Here is a 19,705-nt window from a genome sequence, read left to right as displayed (position 1 = left end):
GTCATCTTGATTCCCAATTCATTGTGACAGCTTTGGAAGTTTTCGGGGTCATCTCTTTCCAGTATCATTAAATTTCACAATGATTAGAACCTTGGTGTGGGTATACATTAATCTATTATGTAGGTGCTTATTACTTTGGGTATGAAAACTCATACTTCAGTTCTGAAAATTTTTCTTAATTTATTTCTTTGATTCCCCTTCCTTAGTTTTCACCACTATTTTTCTGGCACTTCTATTATTCAAATATAAGACTTCACAGAGTGATCCGTTAATTTGACAACCTTTTTTATTTTCTATTTTTCATCTATGCCTTTTTGTTCTACTTTCTAGGAGAGTTTCAACTTAATCTTCTAATCCTTCTTGGAGATTTCATTTCTGCTAAAACATAGATCTGAGAATTAACTCAGGCTATCTTCGGAACTTGCACTCTTAAGTGCTATGCCATGAGGATCAGAGGGAGAGAAACACCCATGATGTCTTTGAGTCAGACCAGAAGGGGATACACTGAAGATTATGCAAGAGCAGGAAAGAGAAGAATTTACCATGCCTGAAAATATAAGTGTAGATTTTTGAATGAGAAAACAAAAAAATCAGAACCAAAAGAGGAAGTTCAAAGGCTCCAAAGCAGCCAAATCACAAAGATCTCTCAGCTTTGACCCTTGTCTGGAGTGTTCTACAGAAATCTCTCTCTTTCTCTTTCTCTCTCTCTCTATATTATATATATAAAATACATATAATATATATTTTTATATATATCATGTATTTTTATATATATAATATATATAATATACATATATATCATTTTTTTTGAGATGGAGTCTCACTCTGTTGTCCAGGCTGGAGTGCAGTGGCATGATCTCGGCTCACTGCAACCTCCATCTGCTGGGTTCAAGTAATTATCCTGCCTCAGCCTCCCAAGTAGCTGGGATTACAGGTGCGCATCACCATGCCTGGCTAATTTTTGTATTTTTAGTACAGATGGGGTTTCACCATGCTGGCCAAGCTGGTCTTGAACTCCTGAGCTCAGGCAATCCACTCGCCTTGGCCTCCCAAAGTGCTGGGATTACAGGGGTGAGCCACCGTGCCCAGCGTAGAAACCTATATTGATAATTATACAACAGGATACTTACAGAATGTTTGCTGAAAGTGAGACAATGTTGGAGCTTCTGGGGCGATATTGTAGAAATGGGTTTTTAGAGCTCCGCTGACCAGTAGATTATATGCCAGGTCAGTTATATTGATGCCCACAATTGCAAATGAGTACCTATAAAGTATAAACCACAAAACCAACTGTGTGTCACATAGAAGAAATAAGTATTTCCCATTAGCATGCTAAAAGACACTCCTACCAGTGCCACGACAGTGTACAAATGCCATGGTAATGTCAGGAAGTCACTTTATGGTCTAAAAGGGGAAGAACCCTCAGTTCTGGGAATTGCCCACCCCTTTCCCAGAAAACTCATGAATATTCTACCCCTTGTTCAGCAAATAATCAAGAAATAACCATAAAAATAGCCAACCAGCAGCCCTTGGGGCTGCTCTACCCACGGAGTAGCCATTCTTTTGTTTTATTCTTTTGCTTTCTTAGTAAACGTGCTTTCACTTTACAAAAAAAAAAAAAAAGGCATTTCAATAATGGGTAATCTGATATTTAACTTACTATTAAATTATCAGAGTGGCAGGTCACCCTTCCGTCCCCACCCTATCAAAACCTTGACTTTTGTAATTTAGCAGAAAATTTCAGTAATGAGTATCACGAGAATTGGTAGTTCATATACTTTGACCTTTCTATTTCCAAATATATGACAGAAAAAAAATCCGAAGTGGACAAAGCTTTATAGATATAATTCATTATAGCATTTTTAATAATGGCAATGACATGGAAACTATTCAAATATCCTAAAGAAGACAGACAGCAAAATAAATTATGGTAATCTCATATAATATACTACACCTGATTAAAACTATCTTCTTAAAGACGATTTCAGCAGGATATAAAACATTATGGATAGAGCAAGCCATTTTATTATATACACAGATGTGCAAGGAAAGAAACTAAAATAAGATGCCACAAAATATTAACATGAGCATGCTAGAGTAATAAGATTGGGTGATTTTTTGTTTACTTTTCTATAATAAATTGTAATTACTTTTATGATGAGAAAAATGTAAATAAGGATCTTAACACAGTGTATATTTTCTAGTTCCTTATTTACATGTTTACCAAAAATTAACGGAACCTGAGTTCTTAAATCCTCTCTGCTAATATAAATCCAGCACAGAAAAAAAATTCTCTATTCAGAAATATTTTTGGATAATATGGGGCATTATAAAAAAACTAAAATAAATTTTTATCAAATAGCCCAATATTTGGTAAAATCCTTAAAAGAAAACTACCAAACACAATTCTTTTTTTTTTTTTTTTTTTGAGACGGAGTCTCGCTTTGTCGCCCAGGCTGGAGTGCAGTGGCGCCATCTCCACTCACTGCAAGCTCCGCCTCCCAGGTTCACACCATTCTCCTGCCTCAGCCTCCCGAGTAGCTGGGACTACAGGCGCCCGCCAACACGCCCGGCTAATTTTTTGTATTTTTAGTAGAGACGGGGTTTCACCGTGTTAGCCAGGATGGTCTCGATCTCCTGACCTCGTGATCCGCCCGCCTCGGCCTCCCAAAGTGCTGGGATTACAGGCGTGAGCCACCGCGCCCGGCCCCAAACACAATTCTAAGTGATTTCTGAAAATCATTTCCTTATAATTACAACTTTCTACCTTGTCAGTTGTTCATAGGCAAAGTAATATCATATAACCATACAGATAAATCCACAAACATATAGAAGGGTACTTTAAACATTTTAACCAGATTGTATATTTCTATTAGGACAAGTAGAGTTTCACCCTTGTCTTTCATGATACTCTAGTTCTAGTTCTGGTTCTGTTTCAGACGGACCATCTTTCCATGTGAGATCCCATACTCACCCAATTGCCTTATCCATCCTTTTCTTCTCCCATTCTGCTTTGCTGAATTTGCTGAATGGATGAATGAATAAGTAAGTAAGTCAGATTTAACCTCTAATTGGTACTTGTTCTCTTTTAATGCTTATGTTAAAACTGTTAACTATATGCAGAGATGTCTGTAGCTCAATTATCCAACAAATGTTAAGCCACAGTACAATTTATATGGAGGTCAGAAATGGAATTATTTAAGGCCATGCTATTTACCTCCTATCCACTTTAGTATAGCCATGGGAGACAGCCCTAAAGGCCAAACATTAAGCTATTCTTTTGCACTATCATTAATGATCAAACCCCTCCTTCCTGAAACATTTAGTGAGGTAACTAGATGTCGCCTCACTCTCTCCTGATTCCCTACTGCATTTTGTTTGGTTTTACCTAGTGGTGTTTATCCTATTCACCATACTATAATAATATAATAAATAATATTATTATATTATTTGTGATGCCTGGTACATTGTAGATGCCAAATAAATGTTCATCGATAAGTAAATGATTGAGTTAGTAAAAGAAAGAAAAGAAGAAAGGAAGGAGGGAGGGAAGTAAGGAAGGTAAGGAAAGGAGGAGAGGGAGGAGAGGCGGGGAGGGGGGGAAGCAAGGAATGAAGAAAAAAAGGAAGCTAGGGAGGAAGAGAGGAAGGGAGGGAGGGAGGGAGCATTTACAGGTTTTAAAAACTCTGTCCCAATAAGTGCTATGGTATTTCTTTGGGCTAAGCTAAGTCAGTAAGCCACAGCAGCTCCATTTTCATCTTTGTTTTGTAATTTCAGCTTCTGAATAAGACTGTTTGAAAAAAGATTTCTATCATAGAAGCATTCTGAAAATGCTTTCTCTCTCTCTCTCTCTCTCTCTCTTTCTTGGCCTCGCTCTGTCATTCAGGCTGGAGTGTGGTGGTGCAATCTCAGCTCACTGTGCCCTACATTCTATTACTCTGTGTGCATCTGCCCCACTCCCATTCCCTGCCATACAGCCAATAGAAGGAGGCAGGACTCATGTTCCATTCTTCCCTGTGACTGATGTAACCTTTATTCAGTATTTTACACTAAGGTCATATGGCCTTTTCTTATACTTCCAATGCAGATAGAGATGTAATTTAACAAATAAGGAGGCACCATTCATTTATAAAGCTTTGCTGAAGAGAAAATGGGCACTTATAAATTCCTATATATAAAATTTGTATAAATTGTATAAACTGTAGTTTGCATTTGAACTCAATACAATGTAAAAACTAGTTATTATGAATATTTAATTTCTCTCTATCTAACTAGAAGAAAGGAGAGTTCTCCAGAACACACAGCAAAGATTTTATTACAAGACATGCATATAATACACACAACACACAACCACAAAAACATTACACAGAATTGATATTTAACAATGTGTACTTTCTATTCTATAAATGGCTATAATTCAAAATAACTGTTTTTAATTCATATTAAAACGTGCCACCTATTTTTAAAGTGTAACTTCTGGCTAACAAACCAAACAGCTGAAGAGGAATCAGGAGATCAGGAGATTTTTTTACCTTAAAGATTCATATCCAAACTAAAATAAGGTATGTGTGCAATTTAAGAAATTTTATATATAAGAATTTATAAGCACCTATTTTCTCTTCAGCATAGCTTTATAAATACACAGTGTCTCCATATTTATTAAATCATTTCTCTATCTGCATTGGAAATATAAGAAAAGGCCAAATGATCTCTACTTATTTGATACTTATAGGATATCCTGGCCCAAACAGATGGCATTCCCCTTGTCGGGAGAAAACAAACACACACACAAACTAATAGTCAAAATTTTCTTCTTTAACTTGAATCCACTTTTATCCCTCAAGTTACTTTAATACTCAACCAATGGATGTTTACAAGAGCAGTAATGTGTCATGCTTGCTGAAGGATAGACAGGAAAGAGCTTTCCTTAGTACACACTGACTTTTCTCTCTTGAACACCTGAAATATTCAGGGCTTGACAGAACCTACGTTGATATCATAATCAATCCATATATACTTTTATCAGACATCAGTGAAGGACAGTAGCATTTTGAAACATTCTGTTCTGTATCCAATGACATTTACCATCAGTTTGAAGTAATTAATACATGAACTTTATTGATTCAATTTTATTGTAGTTTGAGGGATAAAGCGTGGTAATTTTATATACATGACTACACATATATGCATGCACACACAAATGCTAGTCTCTTTTTAAGTAAGAGTAGTCACCCCAAACCTCAAAATACTTTCTCTTGGATGGCTGACACAGGAGATACAACTATGAAGCTTTTCTTTAAGAATGACTCATAGACAAAGTCAGTCCCCCTCCAGTGGTTAATCAGAAATATTGCGAGCTTATTGTCACTTTCCAAGGACTGCGGAGGACTCGTGTCTTCTGACTGATGTTCCTCTAGGATATGCCACCTGAGAGCATGGATTGACTCCCCAGCCAATTTTAACTAGAGGGAGTTTAGAGTCTCTACATTACAGAAATATGCAATTCAGAAGATGTAGTTACAAAATTAATATCGCTTGATTTTAACCATATAACAAGAAAGAGCTAAATGATTGTAGTGTTTTTCTTAAAGGAATGAATTTTTAATCGTATAAAATATTACAAATGTAAATTTGGGAAGTGTAATATGACTTAATGAATCTTAGCCAAATGAAGCTAGAATGAGTAAAATAGTAAGGTGGAGGGGGAAAAAAAGCCCAACTCAACCTATCCCTGAATCTTGAGATGGTTTTGATAAAATTTTGGATTTACTTAGCAAACATGAGTACTAACAACTAACCTACCATCATGCGAGGAGAAAAAAGTGATATAAAACTATGATTGCAAAATAATGGAACTCCTTCTAAGAAGAGTGACTAACACACACACACAAAACTATCATTTATAACAATCAAATTAGATATATTAATAGAGGAGCAAAGTTGTTCTGTGCAACAGAATTCCCAAATAAAATGCCCCTCTCTGGGGTAAATGGAGTCAGAACAGGTGTGGTGAGGTGTTCAGCCTTTAGGTGAGTGTTCAAAATGTTTCTCCAACCAGGTTCCGTCATGGCTGTAGAAAGACTGTTTGACATTTTCCAAGTGGTCAATCTCATCTGGTTTTCAGTTTGTTAAAACATAGCCCAGCTATAATTAACTATATTAGATTAAAGGTTTGAAAATGTTGGCTTTTTGAAACAAATAAATTCAGAGTTCCTTAAAAAAATTCTTACCCATACTTATTCTAAGACAAAATAAAAGCAATAAAACACAAAAACAAAGAAAAAATACCTTATTTCTTCTTTAGTGATATCCCTTCATGTAATCAAAGAAAAAAATTAGAAAAGTAAATGAAAATGCAAACAATTTAGAATCTAGAATTTTACAAGAAAGAAAGAAAAAAAAAGCCTTAGTAATTCCAGATGTTCTCACTTGGTCCCTGACTTCTTAACTTCCATTCTTCCTTCTGTTCCCCCATCATCTTTCTTGTCTCTGGACTCTTTCCCCCAGACCCTGCCCTTCTTCCATGCCCACCTCCTCAGTCTTCCTGGACACTGGTGACTCTATCAGTCCCTTTAAATACATATCTCACCTGAACGGTGCCACTTTACATCCTAAATCTTGGAATGAGTACCTGAAGTTTTAACCCTCCAACTCAGCATTTATTACAAGGGCTTGTTTGAAAAAGCTTTGAGCCTCACTCTCCTGAGAATCTCATCAACAGATACATGTAGGAGATGAAGTTCATTTGATCTAACCCATAAAACCTAATTCATCTTTTACTTTCAACAATTACCTGCATTTCGGATGAAGAGAGTCAGACAGGACCTGCTGAGCTGCTGTGGCATCCCTTTCCGCGAAATACCTGCAGCGGGAGGGAAAGAAAACCGTAACTCTATACTTGCTTACTCGCTGAATATATTCATTTTAATCCAATTCGAGGTCATTTTGAATCCAGAGATGGATACTGGCATAAGGTTATCACTTGTTTCAGCTCCTCCAGGGAACAAACAGCTTTTCACAACAGAATTTTCCAAATGTAATGACATGGTAGGGTAGCTGTGAAACACACATAGATTTAGGAATGTATCCAGTAGATTTTGAAAATTTAATTAAGAGCTTTGCCATTACCCAGAGAACCAAGGATTTTATTATGAAGAGGGGTTATAGAAGAGGAGGTCGAATAGTTTGGTGTTTGGAGGCCTTCAGAAGGCAGAAGCCTCGGTGAGGGACATGATGAAAGAAAGAAAAGACTGGAGGAGATGAGAGAGGATATGTTTCAAATATTCATTGGGAATTTGAATTCTGGATGAATGGAAAATATCTTACTGAGCATAGATATGTTAAAAACAATAACATTTTATTCTAAGGGGAAAAAGTAGTTAAGTTTCCTAATAAACACAAAAAGTTGCACACCCTCAAACATGATTCATTAAAAAGTACTTCATAGAGACAATGATAAAACAATAGCATATATTATTTAATGTGATGTGTGTATATTTCCCGCATCAATCCAAAGGGTAAAAGAAGTTCTTGAATTTCCTCTCAGGAAATTTCAAACCCAAGTCAGCAATTGTAATGCACATATTCACAGTTGTTAGTGAGACTGAGTTTCTTTTCATACTTTTGTCAGTTATCTGGGTTTCCTCTTTTATGTCTCGTCTGTTCATATTTTTTGGCTCAGTGCGTCTAAAAATGTCCTCAAATAAAAAAGACAAATAACCTTATAGAGAATAATATACTGAACATAGATCCTTTATCATTTATGTGTCAGTCTTATCTCGTTTTACTTTGTTTATGGGGCTTATCTTACTGAAGTTTTCAATTTTAATGTGTGAAATTTATTGATTCTTCTTTTCCAGTTGATGCTTTTTTTGCTCGTGTCTTTAAGAGATCTCTCCTTACTCAGATATCTTGATTTTCTTCTAAATGTAGGAAAGACTTGTTTTGGACTTTCAACTTGTGAACTGAGGTGAGGTAATGATTTAATTTATTTTTCTCAATGGAAGGCCAATTGTCCCAGTTATTTGAAAGCTCAGACTTTATCCACTTATCTGTGACATTGTCTTTCTCATTAATATTTACTTTCCATTCATTAATATTACATTAAAATGTTTCATAAAAGAATGGGTGATTATTAAACTTCTTAAATTTAAAATAAAGGGAAAGATCTATGGGAAAATTGGGATGCCACCAAAATGACTGAGTAAGGCTTAATTAACTTCTTTTAAAAATAATATCACTGCCCTAATAGGGTAGTGTCAAAGGACACAAGAACCAACTTGAAAGGACCCTTTGACTCAAAAAATAATGACTACACATGACTGAATTAAAGCATGAAAAAAATAACAAGTACAATTAGCTGAGTTACAATAAACATATAAAAACACAGGAGTTAACAAGTGGTGTTTTAAAAATAGAGCAAAAAAAAAAAATTGACACTAACAAGGGAACCAGGCTACTAACTCCTGACTCTGAGAATTGGCAAGCAAATACAAAAATTGAATATCTGTCCTGCCTATATTTCAGAGAAACCAAATAACTGTACTCTACAAGGAAACCAAGTCTTTAAAAATTCCAGCTAACAATTATAGGAAAAATAACAGAAATAGAAAAGTACTCTTTATACAATTAATTAATTGGTTCAGTAAAGATCATAGAAGGAAGAAAGGCTGATGGTGGACTTTACACTGGAGGCATCAGGCTGGGATCCCTCTGATTCGTTGCAGCACAGGGCTGAGAGTGGAGGGACACTGAAGGCCTCCCGCTGTGATGTCAATCTGAATCTCTTCAGGCCTGCCTGCATACCTCCAATTTTCAGGAAATACAGGGGACGGATACAAGTGCAAACAGACAAATCCAGACCATGGGACATATTACAGGACAACTGTTCTGAAATCTTGAAGGTAATGACATGGAGGAGGGGGCAAAAGGAAGGGAGAGAGCAAGAGAGACTGATCTAATTTAAGAAGACCAAAGGGCAATGTAACTAAGTGCAATGTGTAGATCTTACATGGAAGTGCACTAGGACAAACCAGCCGTAAAAAGTATTTTAGAGAGAACTGGGAAATTTGAATATGGACTGGATAAAGATGACGCCAAGGAATCATTGTTAATTGTGTTTGCTGTGATAATGGCATTGTGGTGAATGTGAGGTAATATTTATATTTTTTTAGAACTACATATTAAAATATGAAGGGTGAAATGATGGTGTAGAATTTTTCATTAACACCCTTCTGCCAAAAAAATAATGTTGTGAATATTTCAAAACCTCAACAATTACTGAATCTGGATGATCAATACAAGGGTGTTCTTTACAATCTTCTCTGTTTTTACATATGTGTGAAAATTTTCAATAATAAAACAATTTTTTAAATATATTTGAGATTTGCTTTAAAAATCCCTGAAGTTTGCTGAAATACAAGGAAGGTAGCAGACACTTTTAACATTTTATGAACCTGACCTCTCAGGGGACTTGAATGTTTTCTTTGAGTCTTATGGGAAGTACCTTTTGAAGCTAATTACTCAACTTTTGCCATTTCAGTATGAGGAGACCAAAACATCACTCGAACACTTAGCTGTCCTTCATTTTACTTACTGCAAATTGTACAGTCCCAGAAGTCCCATTCCTCGAAAGTCTGTTTTAGGATCATCACCTTGGAAACCAATTTCACACCACTGCTTAGAAATCCGAGATTCCAGTGGAGTATTGGGCTTCAAGAATTTCCATAACTGTAGGAAAAAAAAAAAGGATTACTCTGTTGATACACCCTTTCCTATTGGTTCAGATTTTGTAAACTACATTATTAGGAGGAGCTTTGCAAAGCTGAATGTATGCATATACATTACAATTAAAGATGTGATCATCTATGACAATGAAAGAGAGAAAAAAAAAAGATGTGATCATCTTTCAATTATTTATGACAGCATTTCTCAAAGTATGAACTGAAGCCTCCCAGGAGGTTCCCAGGACCTTTCCAGAAGGTCTGAGAGATAAAAACAAAACCAAAAAACAACCATTTCATAATAAAAGAAGAGGTTATTTGCCTTTTCGCTCTCATTGTCTCATGAGTACACAGCTGAATTTTCCAAAGGATGCATAATGTGTTGTGATATCTTTGCTCTGAAGGCAATGGATTGAGTACTTATATATTTTAATGTTTAAAGTCTATTTTAATTTTGAATAGGAAATTAGATGGTAGGTAGATAGGTAGATAGATAGATAGATAGATAGATAGATAGATAGATAGATAGATTAGATAGATAATCTCCCACAAAAAAGCTCTTTGGTGCGCTCAAAAATATTTAAGAGTATAAAGAAAAGAGAGAAGAGGAAAAATTTCAAGACCACCTATTATTCAGATTCTGGGAAAATGCTTTAATGTTATATCAAAACTTTTAGCAGCATTATTAACCAAAAAAAAAAAAAAGTGAACTGACATGAGTTTCTTTTTGCTTTTTTTTGGAGACGGACTCTTACTCTGTTGCCCAGGCTGGAGTGCTGTGGCCTGATTTCGGCTCACTGCAACCTCCACCTCCTGGGTTCAAGTGATTCTCCTGCCTCCGTCTCTGGAGTAGCTGGGATTACAGGCATGCACCACCACACCTGGCTGATTTTTGTATTTTTAGTAGAGGCGGGGTTTTACCACATCGGCCAGGCTTGTCTCAAACTCCTGAACTCCAGTGATCTGCCTGCCTCGGCCTCCCAAAGTGCTGGGATTACAGGTGTGAGCCACCACACCCGGCCAAGTTTCATTTTTTAGGTCTCACCTATAACAGGAGTGAGAGTAAACATTATCATGTAGCTGGAGGAAGGAATATCAGTAATGTTCATGAATAAACCTCAAAATGTATTATTATCTTTAAGAGTTACCAAAAGTAATGTCAATTAAAATCAATTTTATTAATACATTACTGCACAATTGTAAATTTTAAGCATTATACTCTTTACTGCTTAATAAGCTGGTTCTATTTTTTAGTTTTCTGTAGAAAGATTCAGCACATATCATTACTTGAGAGAGACGCTGAGACCCATAATTGTATAAATATGTAATGCTCAGACTCTTAGTTTTTTCTAATAGAGATGGGCATGTAAACAAGTTTACTATTTAGACTTCTATCTTCATTACCGACAGGGTATAAACACAAATGTAAAATTTCCTTACTACTATTTCAGAAATAATTCAATTTCTAAATTGCTTATTCTACATTACAAAGCTTAAATGAAACAGTAATACACAAAATACCTTGCTAAATCAAATTGTCACATACCTGACACAGTGTAAAACATAATATTCAATGACAGAAAATACTAATAAAAGCTGTTATTCATTTTACTAATGTTATTTTATACATTAAGCTAATACTACTTACTATTCACATTATACAATATTTTATGTTAGTGCCACAACAGGTAAATTTCATTTGTCTAAAGGGCGAGAGAAAAAGGGTAAAAAGATAGGAGGTAGATCTCTCATGCTTGAAAGCAAAATATCAAGCATGAATATACAAAATCTCTTTTTAAAGAATTCATATAAGAATGTGCCAGTGCCCTGCATTCATCAAAACACAAACTGGCCGGGCGCGGTGGCTCATGCCTGTAATCCCAGCACTTTGGGAAGCCAGGAAAGGTGGGTAACTTCAGGTCAGGAGTTCGAGACCAGCCTGGCCAAGATAGTGAAACCCCATCCCTACTAAACATACAAAAAATTAGCCGGGCGTGGTGGCCCGCGCCTATAATCCCAACTACTTGGGAGGCTGAGGCAGGAGAATTGCTTGAACCCAGGAGGCGGAGCTTGCAGTGAGTCGAGATAGCACTACTGCACTCCTGCCTGGGCACAAGAGCAAAACTCCGTCTAAAAAAAACAAAAAACAAAAACCAGAAACTGAGAACATCAGAAAAGACTAAATGAGACCAGGTGATCGTCATTGGGGAAAAGTTTATTTTAAAAAATCCTTTAGAGGGCCGGGCACGGTGGCTCACGCCTGTGATCCTAGCACTTTGGGAGGTAGAGGCGGGTGGATCACGAGGTCAGGAGATCGAGACCATCCTGGTTAACGCGGTGAAACTCCGTCTCTACAAATAATACAAAAAAAAAAAAAAAAAAAAATTAGCCAGGCATGGTGGTGGGCGCCTGTAGTCCCAGCTATTCGGGAGGCTGAAGCAGGAGAATGGCTTGAACCCAGAGGCGGAGCTTGCAGTGAGCCGAGATCGCGCCACTGCACTCCAGCCCGGGCGACAGAGTGAGAGTCTATCAAAAACAAAAACAAAAACAAAAACAAAAACAAAAACCCTTTAGGAACTGATTTGGTGACTGACACAATGAAGGGAAAAAAGGGAAAAAAAATGTAAAGTTCGTCACATTCATTTGAATAATAATGTGAAGTCATCTCAGGGCCCTGCACAACTAAAAAATATATTGTTTTGGCTGGGTGCGGTGGCTTACGCCTGTAATCCCAGCACTTTGGGAGGCCGAGGCGGGCGGATCACGAGGTCAGGAGATCGAGACCATCCTGGCTAACACGGTAAAACCCCGTCTCTACTAAAAATACAAAAAATAAGCCGGGCGTGGTGGCAGGCGCCTGTAGTCCCAGCTACTCGGGAGGCTGAGGCAGGAGAATGGCGTGAACCCGGGAGGCGGAGCCTCCAGTGAGCCGAGATCGTGCCACTGCAGTCCAGCCTGGGCTACAGAGCGAGACTCTGTCTCAAAAAAAAAGAAAAAAAAGTATATATATATATATCTTGTTTCATCGAGTGAGTGCAGCAAGATGGCAAAAGCAGGCGCTTCATTTCCGTAGGTGGGTGACAAACCTTACTCATTGGGTGAATGCTTATAGCGTGGGATGCTTATTAAATGCTTAGTAAAACATTTGAATAATAAAATGCTTTTTTTTTTTTTCTTTGGAGACAGGGTCTCACTCTGCCGCCCAGGCTGGAGTGTAGTGGCATGATCTCAGCTCACTGCAACCTCTGCTTCCTGGGTACAAGGGATTCTTGTGCCTCAGCCTCCCAAGTAGCTGGGACTACAGGTGTGTACCACCATGCCCAGCTCATTTTCGTATTTTTTATTTTATTTTATTTTATTTTTTAGTAGAGACAGGGTTTCGCCATGTTGGCCAGGCTGGTGTCAAACTCCTGACCTCAAGTGATCCACCTGCCTCGGCCTCCCAAAGTTCTAGGATTACAGATATGACCCACCGTGCCTGGCCTGAATAATAAAATGCTTTAAAAAGAAATTTCATTTTAATAATTTTATGGATCATGAAAGGCTAGACAAATGGCTAAAAAGTGTTCTTAATTAAGTTGTTAATCTTCAGATGATGGCACTGTGGTGATGGCAGAGGGCATGGCAATGCTGAGGTGGACCAGGCTGGGCACCTGGCCTGACGATTCTTTTGATGAAATGGACAGTACGCTAGCTGTTCAGCAGTATACGCAACAGAACATAAGAGTCAAGATTGCTCCAATACTGACAAAAATCTTGAGCCACCTGAAGGCCAAGATGCAGGTATATGGAAGTATGAACATTTAAGGTAATTCTGCCTTGAGCTAAATGGACTTGCTGTCAAACTTCAGACTGAATGCCGTCCAGATACTTGTACTCAAATGACAGCAACTGAACAATGGAGTTTTCTTTGTGTGGCTCATAAAACTCCAAGAGTGTTCTACTACAGACTATACTAGACACAGACTTGATGGTGCTGTGTCTTCTGAAAAGCAGTAACTATTTCCCCAGCAGGGTTAGTATAAAGGAATCATCTATAGCAAAACTTGGACCAGCATACTTTAAGATTTCCAGAATATTTTCACATGCTTTTTTTTTTTTTTTTTCCTAGATGGAGTCTCATTCTGTCACCCAGGCTGGAGTGCACTGGTGTGATCTCAGCTCACTGCAACTTCTGCTTCCCGGGTTAAAGCGATTCTCCTTCCTCAGCCTCCTGAGTAGCTGGGATTACAGGTGCCAGCCACAATGCCCAGCTAATTTTTGTGTTTTTAGTAGAGATGAGGTTTCACCATGTTGGTCAGGATGGGGTTTCACCATGTTGGCCAGGCTGGTCTCGAACTCCTGACCTCAAGTGATCTGCTGGTCTCGGCCTCCCAAATTGCTGGGATTACAGGCGTGAGCCACTGTGCCTGGCCACATGCTTCTTTTTATTACTCCAGATATTGGATGAATATGAAAACGAAACATTTTTGTGTCATTTTGTATCACTAAGTTTGTGATAAAAGAAAATTTGATGTCCAAGGATAACCTGATTGTACCAACTTTAGAAGAGGAAGTTCAGAATTCAGTTTCTGGAGAAAGTAGCATGAAGGGGAATCACAAAGAAAAATATAACGATCACATGATTAACATTAATTATGTACGGTATGTATCATTTTAGACCCATCAATCATGTATCTGTATTCTAGCTTCTTCGTTTAGTATAGTTGTCTGCTGTGTTTGCCTTTTATAATGGGAAAATTTTTTAAAGTTATTCATAAGCTGTATATTCACCAGTGTGGCACTCATTATTTTTAAATAAGATTAGTATTGCTGGGCGCGGTGGCTCACACCTGTAATCTCAGCACTTTGGGAGGCTGAGGTGGATCACGAGGTCGGGAGTTGAAGACCAGCCTGGCCAAGACGGTGAAACCCCGTCTCTACTAAAAATACAAAAAAAATTAGCTGGGTGTGGTGGCGGGTGCCTGTAATCCCAGCTACTTGGGAGGCTGAGGCAGAGAATTGATTGAACCTGGGAGGTGGAGGTTGCAGTGAGCCGAGATCGTGCCACTGCACTCCAGCCTGGGTGACAGAGTGAGACTCCATCTCAAAAATAAATAAGTAAATAAGATTAGTATTATCTGTTTATAATGTCTGTTAATAAAAGAACTTACAGTTTGGTAAAATTGCTGCTAACCAAATATTGGATTATAATCCTCATCAGACAAACCCATCTATTAAAAAATGAGTGAGGGGCCACGTGCGGTGGCTCAGGCCTGTAATCCCAGCACTTTGGGAGGCCAAGGCAGGTGGATCATGAGGTCAGGAGTTCAAGATCAGCCTGGCTAAGATGGTGAAACCCTGTCTCTACTCAAAATACAAAAATTAGCCGGGCATGGTGGCAGGTGCCTGTAATCCCAGCTACTTGGGAGGCTGAGGCAGAGAATTGCTTGAACCCGGGAGGCAGAGGTTGCAGTGAGCTGAGATGGCACCACTGCACTCCAGCCTGGGTGACAGAGTGAGACTCCATCTAAAAAAAAAAAAAAAAAAAAAAAAGAGTAAGCTCATACAATCCATTTACTAAAAAGGTAGTAATGTTTTCCTTTGATTTTACCTCTGAGTTTAGATATTGTAAGTTCTGTAGTACATAGTTCCATCTTACCTGAAATGTTTTTATCTCATTTTGGGAAATGAGTTTTTAATATGCATATAGGATTATGTATAATCTAAATATAAGTGCAAATGAAGCATTAGTAATACTTAAATAATCTTACTATGCTACATAAAGTATATTCTAGGCTAGCATACTTGGACAGGATTTACCTTCCTGCACCAGTGGACTGTTACATATGAGAGGATGATGATAAGGCATGTAAATGATGTTCCCACTGGAAGCCTGCCCTGTCTGCCTTTTCTCATTTCCCTTAACTCTCTTCTCCAACTAGTTTAGCTGAAAAGCTTTCACCAGACTGTGATTTCATGGTGGCTTATGCCTGTTTATATTTGTATTAATTGCTTACAGATTATACCTCATATTAGCAATTACATTACACTATAGGAAAAATGTATTGGCATAGGTTCTGGCATATCTTGGTTTTACTAAATTGTGGTAACTACTTAGAAAACAAGTTATTAAACTAGTTTGATTCTTCCTGTTAGAGATATATATATATATATACTTATTTTTTTTCTTTTTTCTTTTTTGAGACAGAGTCTTTCTCTGTCACCCAGGTAGGAGTGCGGTGGCATGATCTCGGTTCACTGCAACCTCTGCCTCCCAGGCTCAAGTGATTCTAGTGCCTCAGCCTCCTGAGTAGCTGGGACTACAGGTGTGCACCACCACGCCTGGCTAATTTTTGTATTTTTGGTAGAGACGGTGTTTCACCATGTTGGCCAGGCTGGTCTCGAATGCCTGGCCTCAGGTGATCCACCTTCCTCGGCTTCCCAAAGTGCCTGTTAGAAATATTAACCTTTTCATCTAACCATCTAGGCAGCATTAAATAGGACTGAAGAAATATTGTAGTATTTATGTTATATCCCCTCTCCACAAAGTTTATGTTTGAATTATATGCACACATGAGATTAATTGCTATAATTCACAGGTTTTAAGGGTGTTGATGAATGGTCATACATTTGCTGGACTTTGTTATAATTCAGTGTCCTAATAATGATTCAAATGCAGATTGAATAATTTTATAATCTATTGAATGCTGTTTTTGATAAAGCACAGAAGGTTTTATTGCTAAACTGATTTTAATGGGGCACTCAGGGTCAAAAAATTGTACATGTTGTGACCAAAGTATTTAAATCCTTCTTTTGAACAGATTTAACATGAGGAACTTCTTTTTCATTAAAAAGGTTATTTTGAAATTAAGACAAAAATGTATTCAACTTAATTTTTTTTTCAGACTTAGGGAATAATTTATACTGTATTATGAGACAAGAATGTACAGCAAAAATGTGGGACTCGTAGTATACCGAGGGTATGTATAAATAGTTTATGCCTTTCCAAGCCTGCCAGTCATTTTGGCTTTGAACAGTGCCCAGCAGCCACAGTCATTATTGTACCCCTTAAGAATTCTTATGTCCACAGTGAAATGAATGTTGACTTCGAAATTATGCATTTATATTAATGGTATTGTAAACCAATGGGAATAGTAATTTTTAAAACAAACTTGCTAAATATTGAAAGGCTAAACCAGTAGGTTAATAACTATACGTAGCAAATAAAATTGTCAAACTTATTTTGGAAGATGAAAGCCCATTATGCTAAAATACTTATATGAAGTACAATTATCTGTATATTTCCTATTTAAAAAAAACCTTGAGCCAGGCGCTGTGGCTCATGCCTGTAATCCCAGCTACTCAGGAGGCTGAGGCTGGAGAATTGCTTGAACCTGGGAGGTGGAGGTTGTGGTGAGCCAAGATTGCACCACTGCACTCCAGCCTGCGTGACAGAGTGAGACCCTGTCTCAAAATAAATATGCATAAAATAAAATAGCCTTGAGCTATTTCGATTCTCTTCCAATAGGTAAGCTCTTCCCTGAAAAAATAAGAGTAGGGAATGGGGTGCTCCTGAAGGATGAGGTCATGCACTAGGAAGCCAACTTCAGATCTGAGAAATGGTGGTGGGCTTATGGTGGGGACTCTAAGGAATCCACTCATCTAAGACTGTGCTACTGGGAGTAGTTACTACAAAGCCACCTGCGAAGTGGAGGAGACCAGGGGCTAGGAAAAGTGATTAGCAGAAGACAAGAAACAGATGTGGAGACTGCACTCTGAGTCAGACTGTTATCCATCACAGCCTGCTCTCTCTGCTGAACTCTCTTCACTGTGAACTGAAGCTTTACACAAGTTTATTTGAACACTTCTGCCTGGTCTCGAACCCTCTGCAGGACAGAAAGGGAAGGCGATTCATCTGCCCTCGAGCCAGAGCATTCAAGGAGAAGCAGCTTCTCACCAAGGTCATCATGGGATTGTCTCTTTCCATCAGGAGAGGGTCTTTATTCTGGACTTTATGTTTTTCATTAAGTGCATGAATCCACCTAGAATTTTGTCTTCATTATGAATTTGGTTGGAATACTTTTAATAGAAATGTCTATATAAGTGATTCATATGGACAGTGATATTATTCAATTTCATCCCAGGCTATGTTCAAATGATCACAAAATCTAGATTTTTAAAATACTTCAGAACTCTAGTAACACTGATAATGCTCTCCTATGCTTAAAAAGCCAAGCACTTAAACATGTGGCAATACTATATATGACCTGTGCTTAGAAACTAGGGATCAGCAAACACGCTTTTACATTTAACTTAATTTAATTATTATTATTATTATTATTTTTTAGAAAGGTCACACTCTATTGCCCAGGCTAAGTACAGTGGTACAACCATAGCTCACTGTAGCCTTGACTTCCTGGGCACAAGTGATCCTCCTGCCTCAGCCTCCCAAGTAACTGGTACTACAGGTGCACATCACCATGCCCAGCTATTTATTAAAAAATTTTTTGTGGAGATGGGGTCTTGCTATGTTGCTCAGGCTGGTCTTGAACTCCTGGGCTCAAGTGATCCTCCTGCCTCAGCTTCCCAGAGTGCTGGGATTACAGGTGTGAGCCACTGTGCCTGGGCACAAACTTTGTAAAAACCAGTTGACAAATATTTTAGGCTTTATGAGCTGTACGGTCTCTCTTCTAAGTACTTAACTTTGCCTTTAAACTAGGATAGCAGCCATAGCAGCCGTAAACACCATACACAAATGCATGTGGCTGTACTGCAAATATTACTTGTAAAATGGGTGGTATGCCAAATTTGGTTTGCAGGCCTTGGTTTGCTGACTTTTGCTCTAAACAGTTCTGTGAAGTAGGTAACAAGGGTATTATTACCCATTTTAAAGATGAAGAAGCTTAAGCTCAGGCAGTGAAACACAAACCATGGGTCAGCCCTGGAAAGACAAATGTGAACAAGATGTGGTTTGTTTCTCAAGACCTAGTGCAGTGTGGTAGCTCAGAGCCCTTAGCTACCACCCTATGTGAGCTCACATAGCCACTTCACTGCTCAGCTTCAGTTTCCTCATCTGAAAAATGAAGACAACAGCAGTGTATCACCACAAGGCTACTGTGATAATGAAATGAAATAATGCCAGAAAACACTGACTGTAACAATTGGCACATACTAAACACTCCATTAATGTTTTATTATTTCTGATTTTATCATCGTACTTGAAACTTGAACAAACTGAAGAAGAGAACAAAGATTCCCACTCCTAAGTTTGCTTGGGGAGCTAGTGAAGATTTCAAAATTCAGTGAGTAAGGATTTAAAAAACGAGCCGGCTTCTGCAGTGAGAATAATGGGTAACAGAGGGAATAGCATGAACAAATTCCTGGGCGTATGGTATGGCACGACTTATTCTGGGTCACGGTGAATGGCAGAGCATGGCAGAAATGTACTATATGTGATGAGGATACAGGAGCTGTAGCTTCATGAAATACACTGGAAAGCCTCCAAAATGCCATGCTAAGATGCGTGGGCTTTCTACTATAGGACATAGCCTGAAGTTTCTAGTCTAGGGAATGACAATGAATATATCTGTGTTTTGAGGAAAAAAAAATCCCTCCAACAGTATTTTAGATGATGTGAGAGAAGAATCTAATGGTTGCTGCCATAATTAAAAGCCTGGCACAGCCCAAGTTGGAGATGATGGCTAGAATAAGGCATTGGGCATGGAAAACATTTCAAAGATACCTTAGGGTGCTGTATGGATAAGATTTAGTGATTTTTTTTTTTTTGGTTTGTTTGTTTTGAGATGGAGTCTTGCTTTGTCACCCAGGCTGGAGTGCAGTGGTGCGATCTAGGCTCATTGCAACCTCCGCCTCCTGGGTTCAAGCAATTCTCCTGCCTCAGCCTCCCGAGTACCTGGGATTACAGGCATCTGCTACTATGCCTGGCTAATTTTTGTATTTTTAGTAGAGACAGGGTTTCACCATGTTGGCCAGGCTGGTCT

The 19,705-nt window shown here is 38.2% G+C and overlaps 1 protein-coding gene and 1 pseudogene across 3 annotated transcripts in view, besides 1 other annotated feature; one reads left to right on the top strand and one right to left on the bottom strand.

Moving 5' to 3' along the window:
* Positions 1–19,705, bottom strand: part of ELMOD1 (ELMO domain containing 1) — a 75,633-nt gene that overhangs the window by 9,583 nt on the left and 46,345 nt on the right. For 2 of the 3 annotated variants that reach the window (NM_001308018.2, NM_018712.4), the window contains 5 exons: positions 9,596–9,729; positions 6,794–6,862; positions 6,289–6,312; positions 2,975–3,025; positions 1,131–1,264 (listed from right to left, as the gene is read on the bottom strand). In NM_001308018.2, the coding sequence (NP_001294947.1) occupies positions 1,131–1,264; positions 2,975–3,025; positions 6,289–6,312; positions 6,794–6,862; positions 9,596–9,729 (412 nt within the window). The remainder of the gene's footprint in view (positions 1–1,130; positions 1,265–2,974; positions 3,026–6,288; positions 6,313–6,793; positions 6,863–9,595; positions 9,730–19,705) is intronic. The other variant, NM_001130037.2, reaches the window with a different exon arrangement.
* Positions 2,577–3,078: an enhancer, noted in NCBI's record as "H3K4me1 hESC enhancer chr11:107524845-107525346 (GRCh37/hg19 assembly coordinates)". NCBI's record gives its function as "activates a minimal SCP1, AML or CMV promoter by ChIP-STARR-seq in primed H9 embryonic stem cells {active_cell/tissue: H9 hESC(primed)}" and the evidence as "EXISTENCE:reporter gene assay evidence [ECO:0000049][PMID:30033119]".
* Positions 13,332–13,840, top strand: LOC107984382 (MOB-like protein phocein; annotated as a pseudogene).

This window comes from Homo sapiens, chromosome 11 (genome assembly GCF_000001405.40).
Source record: "Homo sapiens chromosome 11, GRCh38.p14 Primary Assembly".
Taxonomy (NCBI): domain Eukaryota; kingdom Metazoa; phylum Chordata; class Mammalia; order Primates; family Hominidae; genus Homo; species Homo sapiens.
The sequence above is the reverse complement of the archived record's forward strand: the minus strand, read 5'-3'. Positions and strand labels throughout refer to the sequence as shown.